The sequence below is a fragment of the Homo sapiens genome, chromosome 5 (genome assembly GCF_000001405.40).
Source record: "Homo sapiens chromosome 5, GRCh38.p14 Primary Assembly".
Taxonomy (NCBI): Eukaryota; Metazoa; Chordata; class Mammalia; order Primates; family Hominidae; genus Homo; species Homo sapiens.
The window spans coordinates 166,308,512-166,326,230 of NC_000005.10; the positions used below are offsets into that span (position 1 = coordinate 166,308,512).

Genomic DNA, 17,719 nt, shown 5'->3' on the forward strand with positions numbered 1-17,719 from the left:
AATTTCCTATAATGCTTCCATGATATAACTTCCTAGCTAGTTATGTCAAATTATGGTGACTTTTCTTTAACAGCAATGTACCAGATACAGAAATTTCCATTTATGCCTGGACGCACAGATAGTATTATTGTTAGCCTCTCTTGATATTAGTGATGGCCATTTGACTGAGTTCTGGCTAATGAAAAGTGGTTGGAAGTGACACGTGTCACTTAGACTTGACACACAAAAACTTCTTCATCATACAAAGCTCTGTCTCTTTCCCCATCTGTTATGTGGGAATTAACATCCATTCATGTACTAAAGACAGCTCCTAGGTCCTGGATGCTACAAGAGCAGAACTTTCCTACAAAAGCAAACACAAAGACATCACCAAATGGAATTTATGTTAGAGAGAAACTCATATTGCATTATGCCACCAAGTTTTGAGGGTTTATCTGTTAGAGCAACTAGTATTGGCTTAAGTGATAAAAGCATATTTGTTTACCATTCCCCTCATTCTGAAAAACCACATTAAAAATAACAATACAGGAAATTGTACTATTGAAAAGTAGGAAATTGAAGGTGACTGATTTAGTAGATCAGGAAATATATAAAACCAAAGGAAAATTATTTTCATTGTAGTATTTTTTACCTATCCAAAGTATCAAACAAGAGTGAGAAGTAGAATGTACACATTTTCAAATATGCGGGATCTTGATGCAACATCTCCAAAACTGTTGAAAAATATAGTCTCTGAAGACAGGAAAATAATGAAGAAAGAGAAGCAGAGGCTCCACTATAGGAGAGAGGCAATGGGAATTCAGTGGATGGTATTGAAGAGAGATACCTTCAGTTCTCCAAGAAAGATGGCTGTGTAGCAGTCCTAGAAATCAGCCAGGCCACAGCAAAGCAAGAAAGAAATGAAGGGAACCTCCCTTAGTCACTCTGGTGTTTCCATATGAAATAGTGATAGGTACCTGGGAAACTGGGCACATGAAAAATGAGACAGTTATTACCTTCAGGGAAGAGAAAATCTGTATAAAAAAGAAATGCATTTGTATTATACAGCATGGTTCTATTATGACTAGCATTTGCATGACAAATATGATGTTAAAAAATTTTTCAGTTAATCTAATCAAAAATTATGACAAAACTACATTGAAAGGCTGGTAGAAAGGTGTGCGTGTGTGTGTGTGTGTGTGTGTGTGTGTGTGTGTGTGTGTTTTGAGTGGATATTAAAAAGGGTGCATCCTTTTTTTCCAAAGTAGGGAGTGATCAGAAAATATCTAAAACTGAAAAATCATGAATACAACCACAATGTGTGCCTGTTTTATAGAAATGAGAAGATATACCACTCCATGCCCTGAAACAGCGGATTAAAGCATGGAGAATTATTTTATTTTGGAAGCAGGCATCAAAGACTGGATGGGATGGAAGGGAGAAGGCTTAAAGGACTAGTAAATTTTTAATATTATGTACATATAAATATGGCTTCAGAACTAAATGTGCTTACTGATGTCACACTCCTACAGCAATGCCTGGCATACACCATTCTTACACCCCACGTTGCCCCAAGTACCCAGTAAAGATTAAGTCTAAGTCTATGTAAGTCTAATCTATACTTGTATATAGTCTGTATAAGTCTAATCTACCCATGAGACTACCCAATATCCCAGTGAGCTATTACTGCACAACCCATTAGGAATCTCTCTACTCTTTCTACCTCTACATATGTCTGGAACACTGTTCATTCTTTTTTTTTTTTTTTTTTTTTTTTTGTGGCGGGGGGTGGGGACAGAGTCTCACCCTATGGCCCAGGCTGGAGTGCAGTGACGCAATCTCGGCTCACTGCAACCTCCACCTCCCAGGTTCAAGCGATTCTCCTGCTCCAGCCTCCCGAGTAGCTGGGATTACAGGCATGCACCGCCACACCCAGCTAATTTTTTGTATCTCTATTAGACATGAGGTTTCACCATGTAAGCCAGGCTGGTCTCGAACTCCTGACCTCAGGTGATCCGCCTACCTCGGCCTCCCACAGTGCTGGGATTATAGGCGTGAGCCACCGAGCCTGGCCTCATTCATTCTTGTATGTGTTTTAGTTACCACCTTTATCTGTGCTATCAACCTGAACCACAGCCACAGCCCACCCACCAGACTTCTTGTCTTTGCTATTGTTCCTTCAAATCTGTTCTTCACACATAAGCCCAGAGTGATCTTCTTAAATGTAATCACAGGTCAAGCCAGTCTCATAATTAAAATATTTGATTAGTTTACTTCTCCAACCTCATCTGGGGCAATCCAGCACACCCTCCTTCCACTTCACTCCAGCCACACAGATTTCCTTTGAGTTCTTCACAGATGTCCTTTGAGTTTTATTCACACTCACCTTTTTGCTTGGGTGAACTCCTTCTTCAGGGGTCAGCTTAAATGCTCCTGTCTGTATCTCCTTTCAAGCAACCTCTAGAGCTCCAATTACAGCCTGCAGGCTTTTTCATCATTGTGTTACCTGCTTCATCATTAGAATGTAAATTCAATATCCTCCTTGTTCACCTTAAAATTGGTAGTGCCTAGAACTGAGCTGGTATTCTTTAGGTAGACAATCAGTAAATACTTGGAAGAATGAATGAATGAGCAGGCATTATTATGTGTCTAGGAATCTAGTCAGGAAAATAAATTTACTGGCAATACATTGAGAAGGGGAATCATGAAATAATAAAATAATTTACATTTAAATTGATTCTGCACATGATAATATTAAAAACTGAGAAAAGCATTTTATACACTCTGAATTTAAAATATTATATTTCAAACATTCATTTGTTATCTTTAACCAGACATTGGCCCCAAAGGTCTACTGCTGTTCTGCACTTGGATGTTACCTTTGTGTCCTGGTTAAGGACTGTGATTGAGAAGCCAAGGACTATGTTGCTTGGGTGGATCATCCTAAGTGTCTATAGGAACCACCTGCAGGTCTTTTACAATGCAGCTTCTCAGGTCTACCCAGACTTACTGAATTTCTTGATAGCAAACTAACGTATCAGTAATTTCTTAAAAACTCCATAGGCCATCTTAACATTTAGCCAGGTTAGGAACTGTTCAACTAAATTGTGAAGAGTAGTATTAATATGACTGATAGTAGACTTTTATTTGAGCATTTGACATATATCAGGAATAGTTGTTTTCTATACTTTCCATGTAGTTATTCTTCATTAAAATATTAAGAGATGCCAGGTGTGGTGGCTCACGCCTGTAATTCCAGCAGTTTGGGAGGCCAAGGTGGGCAGATCACTTGAGGCCAGGATTTTGAGACCAGCCTGGCCAACATAGGGAAACTCCATCTCTACTAAAAATACAAAAAATTAGCTGGGTGTGAGGGTGCATGCCCGTAATCCAAGCTACTCAGGGGGCCGAGGAATGAGAATCACTTAAACGCAGGAGGTAGAGGTTGCAGTGAGCTGAGTTTGCACCACTGCACTCCAGCCTGGGAGGCAGAGCAAGATTCTGCCTTTAAAAAAAAAAAAAAAAAAATTAAGAGATGAGTACTATTATTCTGAATTACAGATGAGGCTCAGAGAGGTTAAGTAAATCTCAAAGTCAAGTAGCTCAACAATGGTGAAAGCCTGATGCACGACTGTGGAGTTGAGTAATGTCTAATCATCACTCTGTGCTATTGTGCTATGCCAGCCTGACAAAGCGCTCTGCATACCTGTTTCCTTCACAGCCTAGTCAGGCCTGGTTCAACTAGACCTTCATAAAATGTTGTCAATGATCCTCGTGTATTATGCTAATCAATGTCTCTTGTTCTAATAGCATTTGCATTTCTAACTATGGAATGAAAGGTTATAATTTTCTGTTAATAAAACACCATATTTGGTGAGTAGGTTGATAAAGTTATGTCACATATAAAGAAGACCTTCAGAAGTCCTGCATTTATAATGTGTAAGTCATCACCTGTATTAAGGATTTTTAAGCCTGGCTGATTGGAATTCTCTTTGTGTAGTATAAAAGGAAATAGATGCCTACTAAATCAAAATCACTGAGAGTGTGACTTAGCGACTACAGTTTTAGAGTGCATCCCCGGATATTCTGATGATTTTCTGGACTAGGAATCACACCATCTATGTGGGGAGTCAGACCGATCTTTCATGTTCCTTTGTCATGTTTCTCATCATTAGTGGGAATAGCATTTATGAGCTTAGAACAAGGAATTCTAATTACAAGTCATCAATATGCACTGCAAAAGGGACCTAGTACTAAATGTGGAATTAACCAAAGCAGAAAGGACATATTCATGCTTTGAAAGAAACAAACATTATTAGAGCAAAAGTTTTACAGAGAGGCCTGACTTTCTTAGAAAGATTTCTCAATGCTTCTCAAGTTACCCTAGAAATTGTTTGAGTTTGGATAATACTTAACAATGAGAGAGAGCACAGTGAAATTTCTTTCTATTTTTGTCTCATCATATATTGGTTGCCAAGTTAAGAGCCACAACCTGGAAATTTAGAATGTCATTCTGCCTTGTTTTGTTCTTTTGGGGTCTGACCTTTGCTTTATCCAAATATCATTTTGTCTGTAAATATTAAAAAGAGTTGCTGGCCACTCAGTGTTGCAAAATACGTGGAACACTTTAAAGGATTTGTGGGCTGGCATGGGAGCTCTTATTGTGCGAAATTAATCTCTTGAAAATGTTTTACTATTGACAGCACTGCTTCCCATAATTAGGCAAGTAAGAGTCACTCATGAAGCTGTAACAATTGGGTGTTATGCTTTCATCTCAAACAATTTCAAATATTAAATGTTCCTAGAGTAGGATTTTAAAAAGATCTCTGCTTCTTAAAGGCCATTTAGGCTATAGTGGAATTGCCTAAACCCAGCATGTGCCAAAATGTTTTTGCATCCTTAGGTAATAAAATTGTGAACTCCTGTGGCTACAAGGGAATTTGAGACATTATCCTGTCCCAAACTCCCCAGTATGGTTTTTGGTGAGGAGATCATTTACCCCATCCCAGGCATTTAGGCATTATTACCTGCCTACTGTGGTGTTTAATAACCTCTCCATCAAGAAATGCTTTTGCATATGTATCTGAAATCTGCTGGTTTTTTTTCCCCTAGAATACTAGTGAGAAATGGAAGGCTGCTTTAAGATTGAAAACTTGGGTCACATAGTGAGTCTTTAGATGTGTTCTCCAGTTTGGAATATGGTAACTGTATATTTTGGTCCTTAGAGGGTACCTAAAGCCACTATCCAGAGTTATGCTATTTGTGCTCTGCACAAAAGCAGCAAGTAGAATGGTGGCATTGGAGCTGAATTCACACGCCTTCATGTCTCTAAACTCAACACCTTCTAGCATGCTATCCTCAAAAGGCATGTTCTTCTAATCCTCTCCACCAAGGAGGAGCCTGGCAGGAGAAATTTTTTTTTCTTACTTTCTCAAAGGTATCCTAACACCTCCCTTGAAGACGATGGCTGGAATAGTGAGCATCAGTCCTCACAGGGCCTAAAACTCCCTTTGGATACTTTCTTTGTTTCACAAGAGGGATTCTGATTCAGCAGGTCTGGAGCCTGGGGATCTGTTTTTTTGTTGTTGTTGTCGTTTTGGTTCTTTTGGTTTTTTTTACAAACACCCCAGGTTACTCTGATGCAGGTGGTCCAGAATCCCACTTTCAGCAAACAGTGTGCATAGTTTAGCTTCATTTGACTGGTACCTGGTTATACCACCAAGCTACTTTCATTGAAATCTTGGAGGGTTTTGGCCATCTGGTTGAACCTCATGTGGTTTGCAGACAGGAATCAGTGAAAGGCTTCAAGTCATCCATGAAGTTGACTAGCATCCAGCCACCTTTGTGTAATTCTTGTCACTACATATGTGCATTGCACACTTTGCATATTTTAAATATTCATGAGGTATTTCCTGTTTGTTTTCTTTCTTTAATTCAAAAAATATTTATTGAGCATCTACTCTGCACAATGCATGGTGTCTGAGAAATACATAATAATCCGGTCACAATTCAGTAGGGTGTTTAAGATACACATGCATATGACTCCAAATTAAGGTACAAAATAATACATTTCATAACAATCGCAATGCTTTAGAGTTTAGCTGGAGAGAAGATAATACCATTAACGTTATTGTGACATGAGACATGATTTTATACTATCTGCAGAAGCAAAGGCAGGGTTCAAAACATTAATAATTGTATTTAAAATGATGACATTCATTGGTTCATGTATTTTATTGTTTGGCTTTGTGTTGTTATAATAGTACTATAATTTATGTCTGTTAACCATTGCATTTTATGTATGTGATATATAAACATGAATTTGAGAGTTTCAACTGAGAATTTTATCAGATATAAATATGTGGCATAGATTAAAATAAAAATTCCTTGTAGAGTATGTACACTCAGAAGCCTCTAACATTCAGTTTAGATGTTTTTTCCAATATTGATTTTGTATTGCAACTCTAGAAATAAATTCTGATTTAGAGCTGACAGCATAATGCTTTAAATATATTAGATTGTTTTAGTCCTGGCAGTTTATTTTTTGGTTGTTTTGGTGTGTAACAATATAGCTTAGGGTGTCATCTCTAGACTGTGTTCAAGTATTTAAATGGAAAATGTAAAGCAGACTGATGGTTGACCCTCAGGCATCAGAGTAAGAAATCTTATCATCAGATTATTTTCTAGTTTGTAACCATGTAACAGGGCACCTGTATCTCTTGCTTACACAATTGCTTCTACATTTCACATGGGATAATAAGAGTAAATTAACAATCCTTTTGAAGTTGTGTATAGCAAATTGGGAAATTTTCTTTCCTGATCATACAGTTCAACAAATAGAAGATGAAATTGTTGAGGGGAGAGAAGGTTTGGGAGTTCTTCAGAGCATACTTTTTAAACTATATAAGCCTGATTTGAGTTTCTCATTCATAAAATGGAAATACTAGTAGGAGTTTCCTGACGGATTTTTGTAAGGTTAAGTGAGATGATATGTTGCTTAATTCAGTGCCTGGCTGGCACAACAATATGTGTTTTAGCTTAATCCAACAGATATTTATTGAGCATATACTGTATGGCACGAATACTTCTAGATTAAGGGAAAATAGAAATGAACAGAACAAAGGCCTTGACCTCATGGGCCTTATATTATTGCAGAGGGCATGAAATCTAAATCCAGAAGGCAGTCTGAAAGGGTGACTTTTATTGTCTTATTTATTTCTATTAACATCTTTCAAACATACTTTTTTGTTCTTAGTTACCCAAGACTTAGTAGCTGCATTTGTTTTTTAACAGACAGGGTCTTGCTATGTTGCCCAGGCTGGAGGGCAGTGGCCATTCACAGGTACGATCACAGCTCACTACAGCCTCAAACTCCTGGCCTGAGGAGAAGTGAAAAGGGGACTGCAGAATTAGACTAGGTATGTTTTTCTTGAACAAAAAAGCAATGTTTTGACACTATGAATGATGTTTAGGTCTTCTTTACTAGAAAAAACGTATATATTTCTATAAACAGAAAAGTTGTATTTAGGTATAGTGTTTCAAAATCTCTGTACTTTTTTGACTCATTCTTGGTGATTTTTTTTTTTTTTTTGAGACGAGTTTTGCTCTGTTGCCCAGGCTGGAGGGCAGTGGTGCTATCTCAGCTCACTGTAACTTCCAGCTCCCAGGTTCAAGCAATTCTCCCTGCCTCAGCCTCCCAGGTAGCTGGGAGTACAGGCACCCACCACCACGCTTGGCTAATTTTTGTAATTTTAGTACAGATAGGGTTTCACCATGTTGGCCAGGCTGGTCTCAAACTCCTGACCTCAGGTGATCTGCCCACCTCGGCCTCCCAAAGTGCTGAGATTACAGGCATGTGCCACCGCGCCCAGCCATTCTTGGTGATTCTTTTAAAACTATATAGTTTGAAGGAAAATATAGTCATGTGTCACATAAGGGATGGGATACATTCTGAGAAATGCATTGGTAGGCGATTTTATTGTTATGCAAGCATTATAACATGTACTCACACAAACCTAGATGGTACAGCCTACTACACACATAGTCTATATAGTACAGCCCCGTGCTCCTAGGCTGCAAACCTGTACATCATAACACTGTACTGAATACTGCTGGCAATTGTAACATAATAGAAAGTATTTGTGCATCTAAACATATCTTAAACATAGAAAAAGTAAACATACAGTGTTATAGTATTATGGCACCATCACTGTATATGTGGTCCCTGGTTGACCAAAATGTGGTTATGTGGTGGATGACTGTACTTGAATGAGGCCATACATTAGAACTTAATGCTTCAGTCCACTTGGAAAGCTGAGAGGCCAAAAAAAAAAAAAAAAAAAAAAAAAAAGATAACCATTTTAAAGAAGAGAGTCAACCTGGCATTGCAGTATAAGAAGAGACCAATATAGGCAAGAGACATAAGGAGAAATCTGGAAATCTCTTTCAAGATGTGATAATCTATCCATATGTGAATATCATTGCACATAAAAAGCTTCACTGGATGCAAGACTTACTGCGGTTTGCCCAAGGTTAGAAATGATAGAAGATGTTCCTAATAGAAATATACAGAAATTATAAATGCAAACATTACTGTCAAGGGCGTTAGGTTTTTTGACTTTTAACTTTCAATTACAAGAAAAAAAATGTTATATTCACCTTGCTTTAGAATTTCAGAATTTTTAGTAGTAGTATTGTTATTTTTATAGAGATGAAGCCTCATCGGCAGTTTTGTTCTGAAAATTGCATTGTCTCTTTAAAAGGATTGACATAGTTTGTGAAATGTGAAGCTCTGCTTTATTTTCAAAAACAAATGGACAGATTTCCCATTTAAATAGTGGTCTTCACTGTCTGCCCTTTGAATAAATGCTGGGAAAGTGTCTGATGCACATGTATTTATCTTACAGCTTGACAAATGGAATTAATGCCAAAGTGTTAAGCCATTACTGTGTAGGGGAATAGAGGTCTTACAAGTACATTTGCTATTTCACTTTCTCTGCGTGTTCTGTGCATCAAAGCCTGGGTTAATGATATCTTCAGAAATTGTATGGTCTGTTGAATGGTAGAGACGATGAAATATGGTTGGCCAACGCATGCAAAGAGTAGCTTTATTTGGTAATAAATCAACCATGTTGGAGGGGTGAGGAAAGGAGTCAGGGCTGGGTATGAAACAAAGAGCCAAAGGGAAGAGCCAATTAATACCCCTAACCTCCAGAAGCGGACACTATGGCCCTGGAGTTTCTCCCTCAGACTAAGAACCATCCACCAGTAGCAGAAACTACATCCTCAGGGGGGGTTTTCTTCGTGAATGCAAATGTCCCGGCACCTAAACGGTTCACATTACCGCAGGTGATTTCTGCAGCTGTAACTAAGTTCCATCCTCAGCAAGAATCAGAACCACCAGAGACAGAGCAGAGAGACACCATGCCCTCACTTGCGAGAGTTCAAATGGCACTTTCTTGGAAAAAGAAGATTGGTGCATCTCTGTGGCCCCTCCCTTCTCCATCCTATGTCTCCCCCTCTCCCCTCCTTTCCAACTCTTCATCTCATCTTTCCTCTCCTTCCCATTTCAAAGTAGACTCACACCTCTACCCTACTCAGGGCCGGGAAAGCCTCAGGGCAAAGGGAAATCAAAGTGCTGGAGTGAATTCTTAGCTTTTTGCCCAGAGCCCTGGTCCTCCAGATTTAAAGAAGTTTCAAGGATAATTTTGACAATCAGTAATGTTCACTTTACCTTGCCTTGTTAAAGTGAGAACCTAGCTCTTATATTTGAAGAGACTTTCTCATTGTATCTGCAGTCTGCTTCCAAATTAGCTGGGATTTTGGTTGTTGTTATTGTTGTTTTGTATGAAAATATTCTGTTTCCAAAGGGCAAAGGCTCTCTGAAATCTCGCCATGCCTAGATCAATGTTTTGGACAAAGCAGATGCATATTAAATGCTTCATTTGAATTATAGCAGGCAAGATCTCCTGCCATCCTTTAAAGAAATGGTAGTCAACTATGCATCTCATGAACAGCCTAGCCAATCTAAGATTATAGATGAAGGGTTTCCTGTATGCTTCGTATTTAAAATTACTGTTTTTCCTTGGTGAGCAGAATAGAGTTGTCCCTGAACTTGTTTTTAAATTGAAGCACTAGAATGATTAAAGTTTGGTATTATTTACCTATCAAAAGTTATTTTCTAGTGAATATCCTTCTTTAGAAATATTCAGATTTTCCAAAGCCACTGTGCCTGATAATCTAAATCCATAGGACACAAAGTAGCAATTTCATTTGATACTGACATATTCTCTTTAGGTTTTCCGCTAAAGAAAGTCTATGAAAAATCCACTGAGCATAAAAAAAAGAACCTCTATTTCTAGTATCCACTGATGCCTTTTGAGCTTCCCTTGGCTGGGAATTTAGCATTAACAAAGGAATTTGTGATGTCTTATATGCTCTGTGCTCTAATCTAATATTCGTCTGTGATATCATTCATAATTACTATATATTTAAATCTCAGTTTGGAATTCAGGTGTCAAAGGAGAAGTAGTACTGGGAAAGTCTTCATTATCAGTTATGAGCTGCTGTAAAACTTACAGTGTTAAAACATCCCTTGAAATAGACATTAGAGACCTGAAAAAGGGATAATATAAAATTGATCAAAACCTATATTTTAAAAGCAGCTTTCTCTACCATCCAAAAGAAAAAAAATAGCAGCAGCTTTGGATAGAAGTGGTTTAGAGTTATTTTACACATGGACACTTAAAATCAGGCAGACATTTCTGTCCTTCATTGGAAAACTTAGATAAATAGATACACATAATGTATGGATAGATGGGTATACCAGATCAGAAAGAAAACTCCAGAGATAAGCTCATTCACCATGAACCTGGTCTCTCTGGGGGGAAAAATCATAGAGGCTCATTGACTGCAAAGGTTAATCAAGATTCTGGGGGGACATCTCCTGTGCAGCAGCTGACAAGCATTTCATTAAGGAAGGAGACTGAAGCTGCAATGAGATTCTGGAGAACAAACTCACCAGGAGCCAGATTGCAGGGAGGAGGCAAGATCAGAGCCGGCTGGGGTGAATGGACTTGAATATTGACAGAGGTCTGCATCTCTTCCTGAAATGGTACCAATTTCGCTCCCCCCAAGAAATCTTTCTGCCCAGAACCACACAGCACTTAGCAGCAGCATTACCTATCATTGTAATTGTGGATTCCCACACTTGAGAACTTAATAGATCATTAGTTTTCCCATCACAAAGTCCACACTTTAAAATTCTATTTTGCCCCATGCATATGTTATATGTCCATATCCAAATTGTGAATAATGTATTCCAGTTATTATTCCGTCTTCAGGTATCAAACATTTACTCTGGTAATACAGTACTTTACCATTCTCAGTTTCCATCCATTCCACTTGTTTGGAAAGGAAAAAAAAAAACTTAAAGTATATTTAAATCTTTTTTTTGGTGGTTGTTGTTGTTTGGTTTTATTTGTTTGACTGTTTATTTTGACTTATCAGACCCAATCACTATATTGAAACAGGTGGATTTTCTCATTAATATGATTGGAAAATGGGAAACAAACTTATTTGTTTCAGACAAGAGACTGAAAATCCTGTGATTATTTTGGAAACCGTAAAAATGTAAAAGCAACATCTGCCCCGCAGCAGAATGAAATCACTACTCAGTAACAAGTTCTCAAAGGAAGAATGGTTTGTAATAATTAAGGCCAGATTATTAATTAGAGAGAGAAATAGAGGCATTAGAAGATAATTTTCAAGGCACCTATTATGGAGGGAGATCTAGAATTACTTTCAAATTTTATTTTTGGAACATCAGTGAACCCTTACGTTTCTCTGTGAAACCCAAGAGGAATCTTGGAATCTGGTGATTTTTTTAAATTGCTGCTAGCGTCTTGGTAGGCCTATTAAGCTTTCTTCGTTAGGAAGGGGAGCATTAACAATAGTTTCCAGTTTCTTTCCTTTTCTTTGCCTTATTTTCCTGAACTTCTTTTGGAAGGTAAATGCTTAACACATCACGCTGTCATGTAGCAAATGTCGTAAGATCTACAAAGCAAGTCTCTAAAGTAAGTAAAACACCAGCCAAATCTACACTGTCAGCAGCTTATCAAAAAGCTTTTTTTTGGGTGGAGGGCGGTGGCTGGTGGGAAGCGGTTGGTCTTGTTTTCCTCTACACTGTGTTTGGAAGGAGAGTTTTCCATTTGAAAGAGTAAATGAACGCTTGGATACCAATTGGTCGTCTCTATCACATCCCTGCTGGATATGCACCCTCTCATTTTTCAATAGGGCAGCAAGGGCTCCGATTTCTCAGTCTTGGCAGAGATCCCCAAGGATTGAGTATGGCAAAAAGCTGACAAACCTTTGTTACACAGAGCTCTGGCCATCGAAGGCAGGGCCAGCAATGGGGCAGATTCTTCCTCTCTTGCTCTTTCCCTGATCTTCCAGATAAATTGATTACTTTGATCCTTAATGCATTAAATCTGACACTTCTCAGCAATACTAAATTTGCTTCCTCTCCATTTTGTATATAGGGATGTTCATAGCAGTTGTCTGCTCATCAGAATAACAAATTCAAGATGGACGGTGAGCCTGTCCCTCTAGGTTTGTCCTGTGGGTATCAGTGGCCCAATGTGGAGACATGCGCATATTTAACAGGAGACCTTTTAGTGGTGAAAGCAGCACGTCACAGACGAATACATTTTTTACAACATTAAATGACTAAAACTGTTTATTCTGTGAACATAATGGTTTTCTGTGTCTTCGGTTCATCTTAATCTGTTTTAGTGCCCAGCTTCTCTCAAAAACCTCTTTCAAATGCAGAGTTATTCATTTCAGAGAATAGCTGTAAGAGGAAGAAGAATAAAACAAAATTAGCAGTTGATCAAGAGTGCTTTAGGCTGCCACCCTTTCCATTAACAATTTGATTTGATGTGAGTGCAATGCTTTTCGTGATACATTATGATAGAATAACCCTGACAGAAAGTAAAACCAAAGAAAACTAAAACTTGATCTAAGATACAGCAGCCTGCTACCCCCTCTATTAGCATTTTAATTTGATGGGAACTGTGTGGTGTCTTAGTTTCAGTTCCCAGGAAAGGCTTTCTCATTTAAGAGTGCCTTAACCTTATCAAGTCATCCTGAGGTTTTTTAGAATTTACTTATTTATTTATTTTTCAAAGATTACTTCTGCTTTCCTGTTGGCCATGGAAGGGGTTTATCAGATATTGCTTTACAGTAGAAATCTAAGGCTGCCTCTTGATGACAAATTGTAAGTCTTCATCAGGACTAAAGGATGCAGTTACAGGAAAGAAAAATATATTCCTCTGATAATACCTTGGTTGGAGTGGCTTTCTGCGAAAAGAAATGAGTTAATTTCACAGCTTGCCGGGAGTAAAAGAAAAAAAAAGAAATGAGTTGATAGTCAATTTTTTTTCTTTTTTTAATTATCCATTGTCTTTAAAAGGAATAGAATAAAAAAGTAAAATCAAGTCTTAGGGAGACCAATTCATTCACTGTTTATTTAAGTTCCTATATTAGCTTTATGATGTTGAGTTCGAAAAAAATTAGATCTCCAAATGGACTTTTGCTCCACATGCCTGGGAATGAGGCTGAGACAGACTTTAATCCTAGCGCTTTCAAGTCTCTTCTTTCCCCTAGGAGCTTCCCAGAACTGGGTTGTATAGCACGGCTTCCTGTGTTCGATGTTGGGATTCAAGAACCAGTGGGTTTGATCCATCAAAGAGGAATGTTTTCCTCTTTTGAAATCATGACCAGAAAATAATATTCTCATATCTGGTTGGTTCATTAGCAACAGAGGCAAACAACACAAGTCCAGTTTGAACTCCTTAAAGATTACATTATCTTCCACAATGATTGTTTCAGCTTCTTTCCTTTATTTGCACTTTTATTTAAAGAAATTATGTTCTTTTTTTTATAGAGACAGTATCTCACTCTGTTGCCCAGGCTGGAGTGCAGTGGTGCGCCCATAGATCACTGCAGCCTTTTGCTCCTGGGCTCAGGCAATCCTCTTGCCTCAGCCTTCTGAGTAGGTAAGACTGCAGGTGCACACCACCACACTTGGCTATTTTTTAAAAAATTGTTTGTAGAGATGGGGGTCTCGCTATGTTGCCCAGGCTGGTCTGGGACTCCTGGCTTCAAGTGGCCCTCCCACCTCAGCCTTCCAAAGTGCTAGGATTACAGGCATGAGCCACTGTGCCAGACCTTTATTTGGACTTTTCAGTATCCACAAATGCTCAAAACATTTTCTATACTTTGATGTTTGGGAACAATGAGGATCTGAAATTTTGAGAACAACAAAAAAAGAATGTATATTCTTACTTCTTTGAATTCCTTAAATTGCCACCAAATAAAGGTGGGGCTCTGGCTCACTCTATTTTTCTATTTTCCTAAGACTTTGTGTTAAAGCTTCTCTTCAAAATCGTTTCTCATATGCATATTCCCTAAGACTCTTTTCACATCAAAGTTACACTTTGAAGCTTTCTAGCAAAGTAGCAGCTAGGCAATCTGTGACAACAGCAATAATTTATTTGCGTGGCTTTATCGGAGAAAAAGAATTTCTCCTTATTTAAATAGCAGTTGTAAAGCCTAATTAACTAAATTGATAGCTTTATGTATGTAAACTGCCATAACAGAAGAATAGAGTATGCAAGCTGGGGTGGAGGGAGTGGGGCAGTCTGTCCTGGTAGAATAAGGACTTTATTAAGAGATCTGTATGCGCCCAGTGTCTTCTCAGGCCCATCCGTGGGGTTCTAATTTTTATCAGGGAGATCTGTATGGAAACAAGATCTTACACATTTAGAAGCTAATCCAGCCACAGTCTTAGGAGGAAGAGACCTGTTCATTATTTGGAGATACATTACTTTGATGCCTTTATATATAAGGTACGGTATTCCCTTTAAAAAAAAGATTCTGGAAAAGAAAAACAATCTCACCCAGTCATCCCGGAGACCAATAGCTGTGTACAAAAGGCCTCCAAAGTGCTTTTATGACCTTGTAAGTGCCTATGTGTCTGGTATACATATTAGAAAGCTCTAATAATTGCTGCTGTCTATGTAAAGCATAGCCATAAACAGATGCATTTAGCATAAATTTACTCAGATATATTGAAGTATTACATGATTAAATACATTGTTTGTATAAGTTATATTAAAATGTGATTTTCATTTATAAAAAGCTTATTTAATACACTTTTATTTATATATTTATATTAAATGTTTGTTATTAGGTGGGACCAATTGAAATTTCTGGTGCTTGGTTCGCTATGTTTGACCTATAAAAACAGTCATTCCATGATGGAATATGCTAGATATAAAAGGAAATACCATTTACAGTTGATACATACTCATTAAAATAGAATTTGGGTTAGTTTTTCTGGTGATTCTTCGTTTTGATCATGAATCCCATGAAAGCTATGGATCTCTCCTTAGAAAAATTCACAATGATATAAAATTTGGGATTCTATTTTAGGGTGTTCACAGCTTTCTGAGCAACAACGATACAAAGTGGATGCAATTCATCCATCGTCTCTGAAAAGTCTTCGACCATTGCATGAGATTGTAGAGGAAGACAGGCACAGGAAGACCAAACAGCGTGTAGAGGATACGAAGGTCTAGGAAAGATGGATGCAAGGACACACTACAGGGCTGGCACTCACAGGGATTTCTAAATGACCACTGTTGGGAGAAAAACTACAGGCTAGGGACATTAGAGTTTATTCTCTGGATAATTAATGGCTCCCATTGGCCTCTCTTGGCTTCTTTCTCTAAGGCCTGGGTTTTCTGCTGGGGAAGAAGGCAAGAGCAATTGCTCTTTCATGCCCCTAAACTGTAGACCTTCGACTGAATTTCATCTCTGTCCTAATCCTCCCATTTTTCCCAATGTGTTATTTGGTCTCTGAGACCATTTCCTTGGCAATCAGAGTAAAGGATGGGCACGGACCTAAATAAAGGGCCTTAGGAAAAGCCTAGGAAAGAATGCCGAGTGCCTGAGATAAAAATCTTTGTTGTGAGTGTGAGTTTACCTTGGAAGAATAAATAGCGTAATGGGCTCTTTGAGCTGAGGCCGCTCTTACAGACCGCCCATCTTCATTCACCTCTTTGAAATGCATGGTGACAACACATTGATATTGCTGAGGTTAATGACTGACTGATTAACAACAGAGAGCACATTTGCAGGCAAATGAGCTGTAATAATTGTTGCAGGAACTCCTTTGAAGAAAATGTTTTCAATAGGCTTCTAAGGGCTCTCGAGATGGTTTTTCACTCTGTTCAGACTAGCCGCTCCCTATTTGTTTTGTTTTTGTTTTTGTTTTTTACCTTCGGTGCTCTCTCTCAGGATGCGGAGGAGAAAACTCCACCAAGGTTATCCCAAATAACTTAAAAAGCGAGTGAAGTTGGTCATCCGTATGAAGTATTTCAGACACTAGTCTCGTTAATTGGGTGGAATTTACACTTTTAGCTGCTTTGATCTGTAGTCCAGGTTTGCTAATTTAGAAGACGTAAGTTAGAACTTAAACTTCAGAAAGTCTCAATGCGCGTATGTTCCTGCGCTTTTAGAAAGAGTGTATTTGTTCAAAAAAGTAAAGGTGGAGTTATTGTGTTGTTTTTATCTGTAGATATCAAATGCATAGAGCGACAAAAAGGAGTTATCTCTCAGCTTTTTAGAAACCTGTGTACCAGTTTGATCACTGGAAGTACTTAATCCCTATTATCTCCAAACCCCATCAAATTAAGAATGATTCTCCTGCTCCTCTTAGGAATCACAACTTTGATTATGTTTAATTGCCAATGCAGTGGTGACGCTCAAGATTTAGCATGCATCAAAATCACCTAGAGGGTTCTAAAAATAAAAAGGCTTTAGGATCCGAACCCTGGAGTTTCTGCTTCATTAGGTCTGGAGAGGGGTTCAAGGATTTGTGTTTCTAACAAGCAAAAGCTAATGCAGATGCTGCTTGTCCTGGGAGCATGCTTTAAGAACCATTTTTCTAGATATGTGGTCAAAATTGGGTGCCTCATGGGCTAGAGAGATGCCCACTGCTGGTCGTAACCTCTCTCATCCTTTAACCCACTATTCTAACCCCACCCACACACACAGACACGGTAGAGTCTACTGCCTACAGAAAAACAACCAACTACCAGCCAATCACCCTGGTATTCTTGTGAGGTTCTACAGTTTTCCTTTTATTTTTGCTTTTATTGATTTACTTAGTCAACATACATTTATTCAAAACCTCCTGGGCCTAGGTACTAAGCTAAGGTCCAGGAGTTACAAAAGTGACCCTGCCATCTGGGAAAGGCAATACATTAATGTGGCACAGAAGAATCAAATCATTACAGTACCAGGAGGATGGGGGTATAGGATCAGATTTCACTCATCCACCTACTATTTCCGCGTACTTTTAATTACTTCACTTTAAAAAATGTATTCAACGCATTTTAAAGCTCGTCATTGTATCATGACCACAAAAGTTGAAATCAGTACTTGTTATGAATAGAAGGTAACCAATAAATGAATAGAGACATCTGCAACAAAACAAATCCATGAAATTCTAGCTAGACCCTGTTACCTGCAGGACGCTGTGTGCCTGAGGCCTTATTGGTTTAAAAAAAGAAAAAAAGGAGGGTCAGGGGACTGAGAAAATGTTAGAGAGATATTACAGACATTGTAGCAACAAATGGAGATGTTTTCTTTGATCTTATCAGAATTGTTGAAA

General features: G+C 38.3%; 3 annotated features.

Moving 5' to 3' along the window:
* Positions 3,355–3,531: a silencer, noted in NCBI's record as "fragment chr5:165738871-165739047 (GRCh37/hg19 assembly coordinates)". NCBI's record gives its function as "represses an EF-1alpha promoter that drives an FKBP-Casp9 reporter gene in an ReSE screen in K562 erythroleukemia cells {active_cell/tissue: K562}" and the evidence as "EXISTENCE:reporter gene assay evidence [ECO:0000049][PMID:32094911]".
* Positions 15,303–16,080: an enhancer, noted in NCBI's record as "OCT4-NANOG-H3K27ac-H3K4me1 hESC enhancer chr5:165750819-165751596 (GRCh37/hg19 assembly coordinates)". NCBI's record gives its function as "activates a minimal SCP1, AML or CMV promoter by ChIP-STARR-seq in naive H9 embryonic stem cells {active_cell/tissue: H9 hESC(naive)}" and the evidence as "EXISTENCE:reporter gene assay evidence [ECO:0000049][PMID:30033119]".
* Positions 16,081–16,858: an enhancer, noted in NCBI's record as "OCT4-NANOG-H3K27ac-H3K4me1 hESC enhancer chr5:165751597-165752374 (GRCh37/hg19 assembly coordinates)". NCBI's record gives its function as "activates a minimal SCP1, AML or CMV promoter by ChIP-STARR-seq in naive H9 embryonic stem cells {active_cell/tissue: H9 hESC(naive)}" and the evidence as "EXISTENCE:reporter gene assay evidence [ECO:0000049][PMID:30033119]".